Raw genomic sequence first — 13,962 nt, 5'->3', positions numbered from 1 at the left:
ATTTCAGGCACTACCTCCTGTTTGAATGGAAAAATAGCGTTACAGGTCGCTCTCTAAGAATTCCTCTTTTTTGATCTTGCAGGAACACTACTCCCCAAATAGGTTCTGCCCATGGGATGTGGAGATGATGAATTTTCTAACCTCAGTGTTGCTGACACTTAGATCCATGCGCTTCTGGAAAGACTCATTTCTAAGCCATCACGGCTGATTGAATGATTGTATCCCCCAGGTGTTTAATAATGGATCCATGTCAATCCTAAAAGAAGTATCTGGTGGACTGCAATAAGGTTCTGCCTGTGATCGTCTTCATTTTATCATCCACTCATGAAGATGTGAAAGCCAGACTTCAGACAGACAATTAGAGGGCATTAGTAATGCATATTGGATGAGAAGTTGTGACACAAAATTTTAATAGGCTGCAAAGATGTGCTAAAATTCACTAGGTATAAATGATGTCATAGGTTCAGGGAGATACTGAGACAAGTGTGAACAGAATACATGAGATTACACTGAAGTTCAATTAACTGCTAGTCAAAAACTAAAAACTAAAACAATGTATTCTGTAGTGAACACTTGCAGATCTGTGTGCTTAGTTCACCTTTTCTAGAAGTTGCCCCTTCCCTTGTCCAGATGGTTGCAAAAAAGCACTGACGTCACAACATGACCTGGTTCCTGGCCACAGTTGATAGGTCCAGAAACTGATACTCAACTTAAGAATAAGGATCTGTTCTGTTTATTTTAAAATCAGAACCAAGAATGGTAAGCTGGACTGTCTTCGAAAGCCTGGACTCTAAGAAGTAAAGCTTTGGATTTATAGGCAGCCATGTCCCCCACCACTGGGGTGGCAGAGGAATCTAGTCTTTGGAGAGAGGGGTGGACATGAGAGATGGAAAGAGACTCCTGTCTACATGTTCCTATGGCTCAGTTGCATTTCTCTTCCTTGAGTATCACTGTATTCTAATAACCTAATAGATCCTCATATCTTCCCTTTCAACTCAAGCTAACTAAGTGTCTCATATTTGCAAAGCAAAATGTTCCAAGTACATGACTTAAGCTCCAGCTACAGTGCCCTGAATAAGGGTGGGATAATCATAATAGTAAATTTCCAAGTGGCCAAGTCTTAACTTTGCCTTGGCCACACTAATGTGGTCCATGTGGTCATTTCCAGGCTCAACTTTCTGAAGATGATGGTCAAGAGACAGAAGTCTCTGAGGAAGAGGAGGTAGCTGTTTAGAAATGTTTAAAGGGTTGCCATGTATAAGTCAAAGTAGGTGTTCTATGTTGCTCCAACAGACAAAAATGATACCAATAGTCAAAAGTTGGAATGCAGATTTTGACTGGACACAACAATTGTTTTTGTAAGTATTAGACTTATCCAATAAAGGAATGGATGACCTAGTGAAGGATCAAGGTCTCTGTCAATGGAAGGTTGGGTCAGAACTTAGATATACATTTATTTGGGAGTTTGATGAATAGATGGCTATTAATAGCTGTCATTTATCAAAGGCTTTTTATGTGTGAAACACTGTGCTTGACATATGCTTTATGTAAATTTACACATCTTCATAATAATCATATGAATAGATATACCTTATACATTTAATAATAGTTATCAAATATTTATAAGAACAATATTTTGGTAATTTTAAACGTAAAATTAAAAAAATTTGTTATGCTTCAATTGTAGAATTATGCTACAATTAATTTCAGTCTTTGAAGTATTTGTAATTTTACCACTTCATGGCATTTTTCTACTTTTTTTTTTTTTGAGACGGAGTCTCGCTGTGTCACCCATGCTGGAGTGCAGTGGTGCGATCTCGGCTCACTGCAAGCTCCGCCTCCCGGGTTCATACCATTCTCCTGCCTCAGCCTCCCGAGTAGCTGGGACTACAGGTGCTCACCACCATGCCCAGCTAATTTTTTTGTATCTTTAGGAGAGACGAGTTTTCACCGTGTTAGCCAGGATGGTCTCGATCTCCTGACCTCATGATCCGCCCACCTCGGCCTCCCAAAGGCATTTTTGCTACTTTTAAGTTTTAAATTCTTTTACTGATACATAATTTTATGCATATTTATGGGGTAGGTGTGATATTTTATTACATGCATAGAATGTGTAATGATGAAATCAGGGTTTAGGGTATTCATCACCTCGAGGACTTATCATTTCTGTGTGTTGGAAACATTTCAAATCCTCTCTTCTGGCTATTTTGAAATATACAATACATTGTTGTTAACTATAATCTACCTACTCTGCTATTAAATATTAGAACTTATTCCTTTTCTTTAACTGTATGTTAGTTCTCACCAACCCACCTCTTTTCATCCCCTAGCAACACCCCACCAACACACACACACACACACACACACACACACACACACACACACACACATTTTTCAGCCTCTGGTAACTATCATTCTACTCTCTACCTCCATGAGATCAACTTTTTTAGCTCTCATATATGAATGAGAACATGCCATATGTGTCTTTCTGTGCCTGGCTTACTTCATTTAACATAATGACCTCCAGTTCCATCCATATTGCTGCAAATGACAGGATTTCATTTTTTTATGGCTGAATAGTATTCCACTGTGTATTTTTGCCATATTTTCATTATCCATTCATTGACTGATGGATATTTTAAATTAATGAATAATTCTCAATTTTGACTCAATTCTATAGGATATGGTGGCCCTTCCAGATTTTCAAATAATACAAGCTACCACATTTTCATTTCCATTATGATTATTTCAGTTACATTTACCCAATTGCTTCCCATATATTTTTCTGGATACAATTGATAATGTCCTTTTGTTTACTATATAGCAGGAAAACCAACTTTTGTTGTCTTAATATTCTCTAGCTGTGGAGTTCAACTATTTTATCTTTCATAGCTGGGTAAGAACAGGAGTAATATTTTCTATTTTACTGTTGATCACCATCCCCAAAATCCCTAATATTATCTGCTCCATAAAAATCCCCAAAACCAACACTCAAGGGTTTGCTTAACATCAGACTGAATGAATAATTTCTTTGAAAAGATAACCCGAATTTGATATCTAGTCTGACCTATGATATTCTTTATAAAATAAGGAATTATTTTGTATCATACTGAATTCTAAAATATATGTTCTTGAGCTTTAAAATGCTTTCTAAAACTTTCTATTTAATTCTGCATTTTTTCACCAGCTACTGTAAAAATTCTGCCATATCACATCATTGTTGCTTTACTTTGTTCATCCTTTTTTTCTAGTTTGTCCCACATTTTTTATCTCTATAAAATGTCAGTGAAGAGACTAAACATAAATATACAAAGATCATGGCTAAGCCAGATGCAGACAGCCTGATAGTGAATGCCAGATGCCAGAGATTCTCTTCAGTTTAAATATTCAGCACCAGGTGGTTCAGTTGACCTAACAAAAGAACACGTGTTCATGAGATGCAAAGATAGAATTGGAGATACTAGTTCTCATTTGGATAAAATTTAGTTATTTAATGAAAGCATGCAAGAAGGGTTTGAAATCAAGTAAAAATGAAATTAAGTTAAATCATTCATTCACATCTATACAGAAAGAAAATTTTATTGCAATTTGTAAAATTTCTTTTCAGAAGTAATTCTTAGAACAAATGCTAGTATTTATAATATCAGCTAGAGAAAAAAATCCTTTAATTACGCTTTAGTGAAAGCATAATATTAAGTCTGTTTCCAACTCCCTGAAGAGTGGCAATAATTAAGATAATCAATGTTTCCTAATATGGGTTAGAGTAGAAATAGAATTTCTTATAAAACACATTGTATTTCTTGTTTTGAAAGATCTCATAGCTCAAATTTAAGTTGTTGCCTTTATAACTAGCTACAGTAAATAAGCTGGCCATGGACTTTGACCTTACACAGAAACTAATGACCTTAGGAGTATTTCAAGATGTTTTATTAACATAAGTGAAGTGAGTTAACACAGATATGCTGCAATAAGTGTTTGTGATACGTGTTCACATACATGTGAAGCATATGTGTGTGCATGCAGTTGAGTACTTCTGTTGTCAAAGTGGCCACTGTCTTAGAAAGCAATCAAATGAAGGCAGGATGTTAACTTTACCATTAACTAAGCAAGACGACATTGCCATCACTTACATTTATTCCTTACAAGTTACTTTTTAAGTGTACAATAGAGGTTCATGAGGAAGTAGCCCCTTAAAAATGTTTTAGACAATATTTAAAATATATATAGCAAATGAATAACTATATAGTCAATGCATTGGAATGATATACTTGCTGTACATTATTGCTTTGTAAGGGGTTGTATTAGTTTTCTGTTACTTCTGTAACCAATTACTACAAATTTGACAGCTTAAACAGTGCAGACTTACCATCTTAGGGTTCTAGAGAGTTGAAGTCCCACATGGGTTGCCCTGGGCTAAAATCAAGATATCCGTTGTGTTCTTTCCTGGATACTCCAGGGCAGAATCCATTTCCTTGCCTTTTCTAGCTTGTAGAGGCCACCACATTCCTTGACTCACAGTCCCCTTCATCCTTCTTGAAAGCCATCATCATTGCATCACTGTGGTCACATTCTCTGACCGACTGTGCCTCCCTCTTCAACTTTTGTGGGCCTTCGTGATTACATTGAGCTCACTGGACAAAATAGCACAATCTTCCTATTATAATGTCAATGGATTAACAACCTCAATTCCACCTGGTCCCTTAATTCCTCTTTGCTATGTAAACACTTGCAGCCCTGTGTTCACAGGTTCTGAGGATTAGAATGTGAACATTTGGGGGCAACACTTATTCTGCCCATTACGAGGGGATTTAGGGGGCTTCACCATCCAAAAAGCAGACTTTTGCATAATTTCTTTCTTTTTAAGACAGCAGCCCATCTTTTGCTACTCCTGGTGTTTGGACTCCCTTGATTCAATTTCTCTTCCTGTCTTCTGCTATTGCAAAGGAAGGCCACAGTCTAACTGCATGTGGCTGAGGAGGAAACCTTGGGGTTTATCTCCTTCTTGACCAACGCTTCTCTTTTCTGTCCCATTCTATTTCCCTATTTTTAGCAGTGCCGTGTCCTCCCAATTTTGAGGCTCTTTAGGGTTCCAGCCTGTGAATTAGTTTCCAAGCTTGGCCACTGAAAGAAGTTTCGTTCTACTTAATAGCATTTTTTACCCACGATTTTTCTCTCTCTAATTCTCTTGTTTCTTATGGACAAAAAATTAATTGCTATAATTTTAGAAAGGTTTCAGGAGAAAGTAGAGACATACATGTGTGTTCCATCAGCCAGATAAGCAAATAACCAGAAGTCTAAGGTACTTATTTTTTATAAGACAAAGTCCTAAGGCTGACAAGTAATTTGTCTAAGATCACAAAGACAAATAAATTGGAACCAGAATTCTATTCTGGGCTTTTCTGATCTTTGTTTTGGGAGGATGATTAGATGCAATAAACTTTAAGGTCTCTCTTTAATATAATATATTAAAGATACATTAAACCACAATGATTCTCAAGATTTATTGTCTGTCTCAGCTGAGAGGCAATTTGTATTATACACATGCCATATAGTTCCTACAAGATTTTAATTAGCTTGAGAAATTTATATGTCTTCATAACTCATATTGTATCATATACATGATGGTCACCTGATAAATATTATAAAGAAAGAATATGAATGCTTATTTGCCAAACAGAATTAATCTTCAGAGTTTCCTAACCTGTAATCCTAGGGTCTGGCCTAGGGCTCAGATTAAACTCCTGATATAATGTAATGGTAATTCCATAGCAAGATTCTTCACTCGAGTCAGCTGTCTGCTCACATGTTGCTCCCAAAGCTCTTATAGAAGCACATTTGAGATAAGATGGTCAAGGTTAACTGTGTGTATTATTACTGCTGGGCAGCTATTGGCATAGTATCTAAATTTCAGGTAGTTGTTTTGGTAACACATTTGATACCTGGAGAACATTAATGGGAGTCATCAATGTTAGCGATATTTTCTTTGTAGTCTCCTAGCCTCAGGCATAGTGGAGATAGTGTTTAGGCTGAGCTATGACCTTCACTGCTTTAAGAATTAAAAAGTTTGCAGTGTCAAGGGAATGAGAAGACAAGCCACAGACTGGGAGAAAATATCTGCAAAAGACATATCTGATAAATAACAATTATACAAAATATACAAGAAAACTCTTAAAACTCAACAATAAGAATACAAACAATTTGGTTAAATAGTAGGTAAAAGACCTTAACAGACAACTTACCAAAGGATATATTCAGTTGGAGAATAAGCCTATGAAAAGATGGTCTACATTTTATGTTATCATGGAAATGAAAATTAAAATGACAAAGAGATATCACTATGCACCTATTAGAATGGCCAAAATCCAGAATGCTGATAAAACCAAATGCTGACAAGGATGTGGAGCAACAGGAACTCTCATTCATCGCTGGTGGAAATACAAAATGGTACATCACTTTGGAAGACAGTTTGGCAATTTCTTACAAAACTAAACATGCTCTTACCATATGATCCAGCAATCATGCTACTTGGTGTTTACACAAAAGAGTTGAAAACTTATGTCCACACAAAAACGTGAACATGGATGTTTATAGCAGCTTTATTCATAGTTGCCCAAACTCAAAGGCAACCAAGATGTCCTTCGGCAGGTGAATGGGTAAATAAACTCTGGTGCATCCAGACAATAGAAAACTATTCAGTGCTAAAAAGAAATAAGCTGTCAAGCCATGAAAAGACATGGAGGAAATTTAAATGCATATTACTAAGTGAAAGAAGCCAATCTGAAAAGGCTACATACTGTGTGATACCAACTACAGATGCTCCTCTACTTACTATAGGATACTTCCCAATAAACCCATTGTAAATTGAAAATATCCTAAGTCAAAGATGGCTGTTTTTGTTAGACATGATGGGATGGGAAATCACAGACACAACACCCAAAAAACGCTGGCAAGACAGTACACTTTAGAGCATCAATTGTTTACCCTCATGGCGGCGTGGCTGACTGGGAGCTACTGCTCACTGCTGTTTTCTAGTATGGCAAGAGCAGCAACAGAGAGTCTCCTATCATGTATTGCCAGCCCAGGAAAAGATCAGAATTGACAATTTGAAGTACAGATTCTACTGAATGCATATCACTTTCGCACAGTGCTAAAGTTGAAAAACAGTAAGCCAAACCATCATAAGTTGGGGACCGTCTGTATATGACACCCTGGAAAAGGAAAAACTATTCAGATAGGAAAAAGATCAGTGGTTGTCAGGGGTTGACGGGGGGATGAACAGGTGGAGCTCTGAGGATTTTTAGGCAGTGAAAATACTCTGTATGATGCTATAACTATGGATATGTATCATTACAGATTTCTCCAAACCCATAGAATGTACAACACAAGAATGAATCATAATGTAAACCATGGACTTCGGGTGATAATGTTTCAGAGTAGGTTCAGCAATTGTAAAAATGCACCACTGTGGTGGGGGATGTTGATAATGGGGAGGCTATGCATGTGTGGAGGTAAGAAGTATAGGGGAATTCTCTGTACCTTCTGCTCAATTTTGCTGTGAATCTAAAACTGCTTTAAAAAATAAAGTCTATAAAAAAAGGATTACAGTGCCCCCCCACTCCCACATATTTTTAAATCACAAATTTTAAAATTATGATATCCTTCATATATAATTCAAAATTGGTACAATACTAAATTGAAAATTATTTTTTAAAATTTCCTAAATGACAGCATCCCTGATTTTGGGAGGAAATAGCAAATTCTATTTTTTTTTTTTTTTTTTTTTGAGACTAAGACTTGCTCTGTCACCCAGGCTGGAGTGCAGTGGTGCGATCTCAGCTCACTGCAACCTCTGCCTCCCGGGTTCAAGCGATTCTCCTGCCTCAGCCTCCCGAGTAGCTGGGATTACAGGCGCCCACCATGATGCGCGGCTAATTTTTGTATTTTTAGCAGAGACGGAGTTTCACCATGTTGCCCAGGCTAGTCTCATACTCCTGACCTCAAGTGTTCCGCCCGCCTTGGCCTTCCAAAGTGCTGGAATTACAGGCGCGAGTATTTCCACTGAGCCCAGCTAGCAAATTCTTTCAAAGAATATTTTCACTCTCCTTTTTCTGTGGGTGCTCCTGCTTACTGCAGCTTGGGGTGATGCCTTTTCGGTTACCTGAGGTGGGTAGCGGAGATTCCCAATTCCCATATCCCTTTTCTTTCCCCAGTGGTTCCTTCGGCCCCCATGGCCGGGACACATGGAAAGGTGCAAGGTATGAAAATCCCCGCCCATGGTGAGGGACCTGTTTGGGCCTCGAGATCCATTTTTTTTGGTTCCTCAAGTTTCTGGTGAGTTTGGCAAGTCTTCAGAGGTCCCTTCCAGGGTGGTACATGAAGTTTTGACAGATGGGTGTGAATTTGAGAGCTATCCTCTCTTGTCTAGCAGGGTGAACTTAGATAATTCATTCTATGTCTTTGAATCTTGGGTTCTTTTATAACATTTGTTTTAAAGCTTTTGTAATATGCATAAAATACCAACCTCTTAGGGAGAATGCCAGGAAGAAATGGCATAAGACACACAGAGGAGTCAGTGCAGTCCCTTCAATAAGTATCATTTCCACTGTTCTCTTTCCCAACTCCATCATAAAAAAGGTGGCCCTGGTGATCATAATAGGGCACATTTTATAGTAATTCACACATTACAAAGCAATTTCATACACATTGGTAGCATTATCAAATACTAGTGTTTGAAGGCAACTGGAAAATCTAGTTCTTATCTTATCAATAAATAACCTAATCCCAAGAAACCTCATGTAATTTATCCCAGGTCATGCAGCTAGGTAAAGGCACGAGCATGATTGAAAGCATGGGTGGTATTCTGCTCCTAAATATGCCTTTTGATATATCTAATCCTTATTGCATATGTAATATCTTAGAATAATAGCTGCTGTGTATATTCACCTACCAAAATGCCACACAAGTTCCCCAATATTTTCTCATCTAATTCCTACAACTATCTTCCAAGGTGAGTATTATTATTTTCTCATTTAAGGAATCACAGAATGAGGGCTCAAACAAGTTGAGTACCATCTGCAAGGTCACCCAGCCCATAAGAGGCAGGGTAGAAATGGGTCTGACAAACAAGCTTATGCTCCCAATACTCAAGGTTGTTGTCTAGATGGGGTTATTATAGGACAAGGCAGATGGAATTAGTTGAGCTGTTCAAATCATCTGTGTGAGTGACTCCGTGCGATTGGTATTTATTGCTAGGAAACATGGCAGTGGAGTGTGTATATGCTTTGTAGTTAGACTTCGGTTGGAATCCAAACTCTAGAGAAGGTGGCCTGTCAAGTGGAATGATGGAGCATGGACTTTGCTGTCAATCTGACCTGTGTCCAAGTCCCTGTTCTGGTACTCACTAACTATGTGACCTTGGGCAAGTTTCTTTTCTTCTCTAACTTCTGTCTGTGAGATGGGATAATAACAGCATCAATCTCCTGGTGTTGTTCTAAAGAGGAAATGAGAGATATTGTTTATAAAGTGTACACACAGTACTTTGTACAGTACTTGCTACCTAGTGGGTGCTTACTAAATGTTAACTTTTCTTATTATTGTTTTCATTATTGTATACACAGTACTTTGCACAGTACTTGCTACCTAGTAGGTGCTTACTAAATGTTAACTTTTCTTATTATTGTTTTCATTATTGTATACACAGTACTTTGCACAGTACTTGCTACCTAGTGGGTGCTTACTAAATGTTAATTTTTCTCATTGTTTGCATTATTGTATACACAGTACTTTGCACAGTGCTTGCTACCTAGTGAGTGCTTACTAAATGTTAACTTATGATTGTTTTCATTATTATTTAGCCTCTCTGAGTCTTGGTTAACTCATTAGTAAAATGGAAAAATGATAACTATGTTATAGTGTCAGTGTAATAATTAGAGAACTCTATGTAAAGTGTCTGGTCCCCAACATATGGTCACTCAAAGGAGTGGTATGACTCAAGTGTATACTAGAGGCTTCTATAATGAAGTCACAGATAACTGCAGATAAATATTAACCTATTGGAAAAGTATAGATAAGTAGTCTTAATGGCAATAACGTTGTTCTCTGTGGGAAGCTGTTTCCAAATCTCCATTTTCCATTTTGTAAAATCAACATCAGGGTTAAATGTAAAGCTACGGGTTAGGATAGAGATGAGCTTTGCCCAGGACTAAGTGGAGGAATGGCCAAAATGTCTTCAACTCCAAGGTTGAAATGCAAAAATCTATTGGTCTCTGTTGATTGCTTTCCCTTGATCATGGAATTAAATGGCAGGCATGTTGTGGCTTTGCAGCAGACTGCTGTGTGCAATCTCAGCTCAGTTTTCTGTCAGGTGTGGGCCCTGTGTGTAAATAAACCAACCACGCTGTTACCCCATGATGCAACCATCTGTAAAATGGGGATTAGGAGTGCTGTGAAAATGAAATGTGGGAATGTGTTTGACATGATGTATTGTCATGCTCCATAAATGTCTTCAAACATTAAAAAACAATTTAAAAGTTGAATGTTGGAGAAATACAGAATACATTATGACCAAAAAAGAAGCCTAGCTTTCCAGACCTCCCATTCAAAGCATGAAATAACACCCAGGGAATTATGTTGATAATTACCCAAGTCTAAAACAGTAGTACTGTTTAAAAAATAACCTTTTATTTAGGTTTTAGTGGCTTAAAACTGCCTTGACAGGCATTTTTATCAAACATTGACATACTCTTCCTAAATTATTTTGAGAGGCAAAGTCTTAAGGATTATTTGGAAGAAAAAATTTAATCTTCTTGAACATGCGGTATCTCAGAAAGCAAATGAATTTCTAACATTAGTATTTTAATTATTTGGCTATTGTCTAGAAGGAAGTCCTTTTATAGTTCCGAAAAGCTCCCTACTGTCATCTGAATTATGACAAAGTATTTCGTTTTGTAGGAATACCACCTCTTTCACAAATTACATAATTGCAGAAAGATCAATTAATAAGTGCTGAATTCCTTATTTGCATACAGTTTAAGGACATCACTATGAAGACTCAGAATATTCTTTTTTATAAATTCGCTCATTTCTGAAGAGCAGCCAATACTGGATCTCTTGAGTATTCCAACTGTCCTTTATAGAAAATAAAAGCATGGAAGAAACAACATAGATTTCTATACAGAAAGACAAAACCCCCACTTCCCTCAAATAATGGTGCCCTAGAGAGGAGGGGGAATAATATTTATTGAGCACCTGCTATGAAGCAGGCATTGTGCCAAGAGCATTAGATGCATGATTTCTTCATTGTAATCTTGGCAACAACCCCATGACATAGACATCTCTTCACATCTTTGTTCATTGTGCTGCCCAAACCTATCTTTCTCCCCATTCCCTTCATCTCCACTTCAACTCCAGGTAGAGAAATGCCTCCCAGTGTTTTCATGCTATGGCTCACGGAGAAAAGTGTAACATTTGCACGGCACACTGCAACAAACAGCAGAGTATTCTGGAATATTTAGATAAGGCTTGGTGAAAAAAATCCTTTTTATATATAGTATAATTTACAAGAAAAAAATCATGTATTGTAGGAGATATTAAATATTGAATTTGTACTGTTGCAGGACTCTCTCCTTAGTTCAGCTAAAGATGGGTCCTTGTCACACAGTCATGAAAAATTAGCCTCGCATGCAATTTGAAGGGTGAGAATAAATGGAATTTATTGGGCAAAAAGGCAGGGGGATAAGGGAAACAGAGACCCTCTACAAAGCCAGAATGCTGCTGGTGTGCTTCCTGCCTCGCAGATTGAATTCCACGTTCCACCCAGGAAGAGGAGGGGCCAGGCTCCTCCTTGCTGCAAACAGTGCGAACTTCCCAAGGCTCCCCACCAGTGCACATCCCTCCCAGTGTGCAGGCTGGTTGGAGTTTCTCATGGGACCCCTTCCCACCTGGCTGTCTCAGTACTACTCTTACAAATAAAACCATTTAATGGATATAAGGCTATTTATATATTTTTCTTTTTTGTTGTGTCAGTTTGGGTAACTTGTGCTTTTCAAAAACTATGTCCATGTTATCTGACTTGTCAACTTCATTAATACAAAACTGTTCATAGTATATATGCCCTTATTGTCATTTTAATGTCTACAGAATCTGTAATTTTGTCCCCTCTTACATTGCTGATAATAGCAATTTGTGTTTTCTCCTTTTTTATTATTTATCTATTTATTTATTTATTTTTTCTCTTTTTTTTATTATACTTTAAGTTTTAGTGTACATGTGCACATTGTGCAGGTTAGTTACATATGTATACATGTGCCATGCTGGTGCGCTGCACCCACTAACTCGTCATCTAGCCTTAGGTATATCTCCCAATGCTATCCCTCCCCCCTCCCCCCACCCCACCACAGTCCCCAGAGTGTGGTATTCCCCTTCATGTGTCCATGTGATCTCATTGTTCAATTCCCACCTATGAGTGAGAATATACGGTGTTTGGTTTTTTGTTCTTGCGATAGTTTACTGAGAATGATGATTGCCAATTTCATCCATGTCCCTACAAAGGATATGAACTCATCATTTTTTATGGCTGCATAGTATTCCATGGTGTATATGTGCCACATTTTCTTAATCCAGTCTATCATTGTTGGACATTTGGGTTGGTTCCAATTCTTTGCTATTGTGAATAGTGCCGCTATAAACATACGTGTGCATGTGTCTTTATAGCAGCATGATTTATAGTCCTTTGGGTATATACCCAGTAATGGGATGGCTGGGTCAAATGGTATTTCTAGTTCTAGATCCCTGAGGAATCGCCACACTGACTTCCACAATGGTTGAACTAGTTTACAGTCCCACCAACAGTGTAAAAGTGTTCCTATTTCTCCACATCCTCTCCAGCACCTGTTGTTTCCTGAATTTTTAATGATTGCCATTCTAACTGGTGTGAGATGATATCTCCTAGTGGTTTTGATTTGCATTTCTCTGATGGCCAGTGATGATGAGCATTTTTTCATGTGTCTTTTGGCTGCATAAATGTCTTCTTTTGAGAAGTGTCTGTTCATGTCCTTCGCCCACTTTTTGATGGGGTTGTTTTTTTCTTGTAAATTTGTTTGAGTTCATTGTAGATTCTGGATATTAGCCCTTTGTCAGATGAGTAGGTTGCGAAAATTTTCTCCCATTTTGTAGGTTGCCTGTTCACTCTGATGGTAGTTTCTTTTGCTGTGCAGAAGCTCTTTAGTTTAATTAGATCCCATTTGTCAATTTTGGCTTTTGTTGCCATTGCTTTTGGTGTTTTGGACATGAAGTCCTTGCCCATGCCTATGTCCTGAATGGTAATGCCTAGGTTTTCTTCTAGGGTTTTTATGGTTTTAGGTCTAACGTTTAAATCTTTAATCCATCTTGAATTGATTTTTGTATAAGGTGTAAGGAAGGGATCCAGTTTCAGCTTTCTACATATGGCTAGCCAGTTTTCCCAGCACCATTTATTAAATAGGGAATCCTTTCCCCATTGCTTGTTTTTCTCAGGTTTGTCAAAGATCAGATAGTTGTAGATATGCGGCATTATTTCTGAGGGCTCTGTTCTGTTCCATTGATCTATATCTCTGTTTTGGTACCAGTACCATGCTGTTTTGGTTACTGTAGCCTTGTAGTATAGTTTGAAGTCAGGTAGTGTGATGCCTCCAGCTTTGTTCTTTTGGCTTAGGATTGACTTGGCGATGCGGGCTCTTTTTTGGTTCCATATGAACTTTAAAGTAGTTTTTTCCAATTCTGTGAAGAAAGTCATTGGTAGCTTGATGGGGATGGCATTGAATCTGTAAATTACCTTGGGCAGTATGGCCATTTTCACGATATTGATTCTTCCTACCCATGAGCATGGAATGTTCTTCCATTTGTTTGTATCCTCTTTTATTTCCTTGAGCAGTGGTTTGTAGTTCTCCTTGAAGAGGTCCTTCACATCCCTTGTAAGTTGGATTC

At 37.8% G+C, this 13,962-nt stretch overlaps 1 long non-coding RNA gene across 1 annotated transcript in view; it reads left to right on the top strand.

Moving 5' to 3' along the window:
• The window catches only part of LOC105373627 (uncharacterized), a 65,027-nt gene extending 57,428 nt beyond the window's left edge, over positions 1-7,599 (top strand). The window contains exon 7 of the long non-coding RNA XR_001739714.2: positions 83-7,599. This is a non-coding gene — a long non-coding RNA (uncharacterized LOC105373627). The remainder of the gene's footprint in view (positions 1-82) is intronic.
• Positions 7,600-13,962: the final 6,363 nt, after the last annotated feature.

This window comes from Homo sapiens, chromosome 2, assembly GCF_000001405.40.
Source record: "Homo sapiens chromosome 2, GRCh38.p14 Primary Assembly".
NCBI lineage: Eukaryota > Metazoa > Chordata > Mammalia > Primates > Hominidae > Homo > Homo sapiens.
The sequence above is the reverse complement of the archived record's forward strand: the minus strand, read 5'-3'. Positions and strand labels throughout refer to the sequence as shown.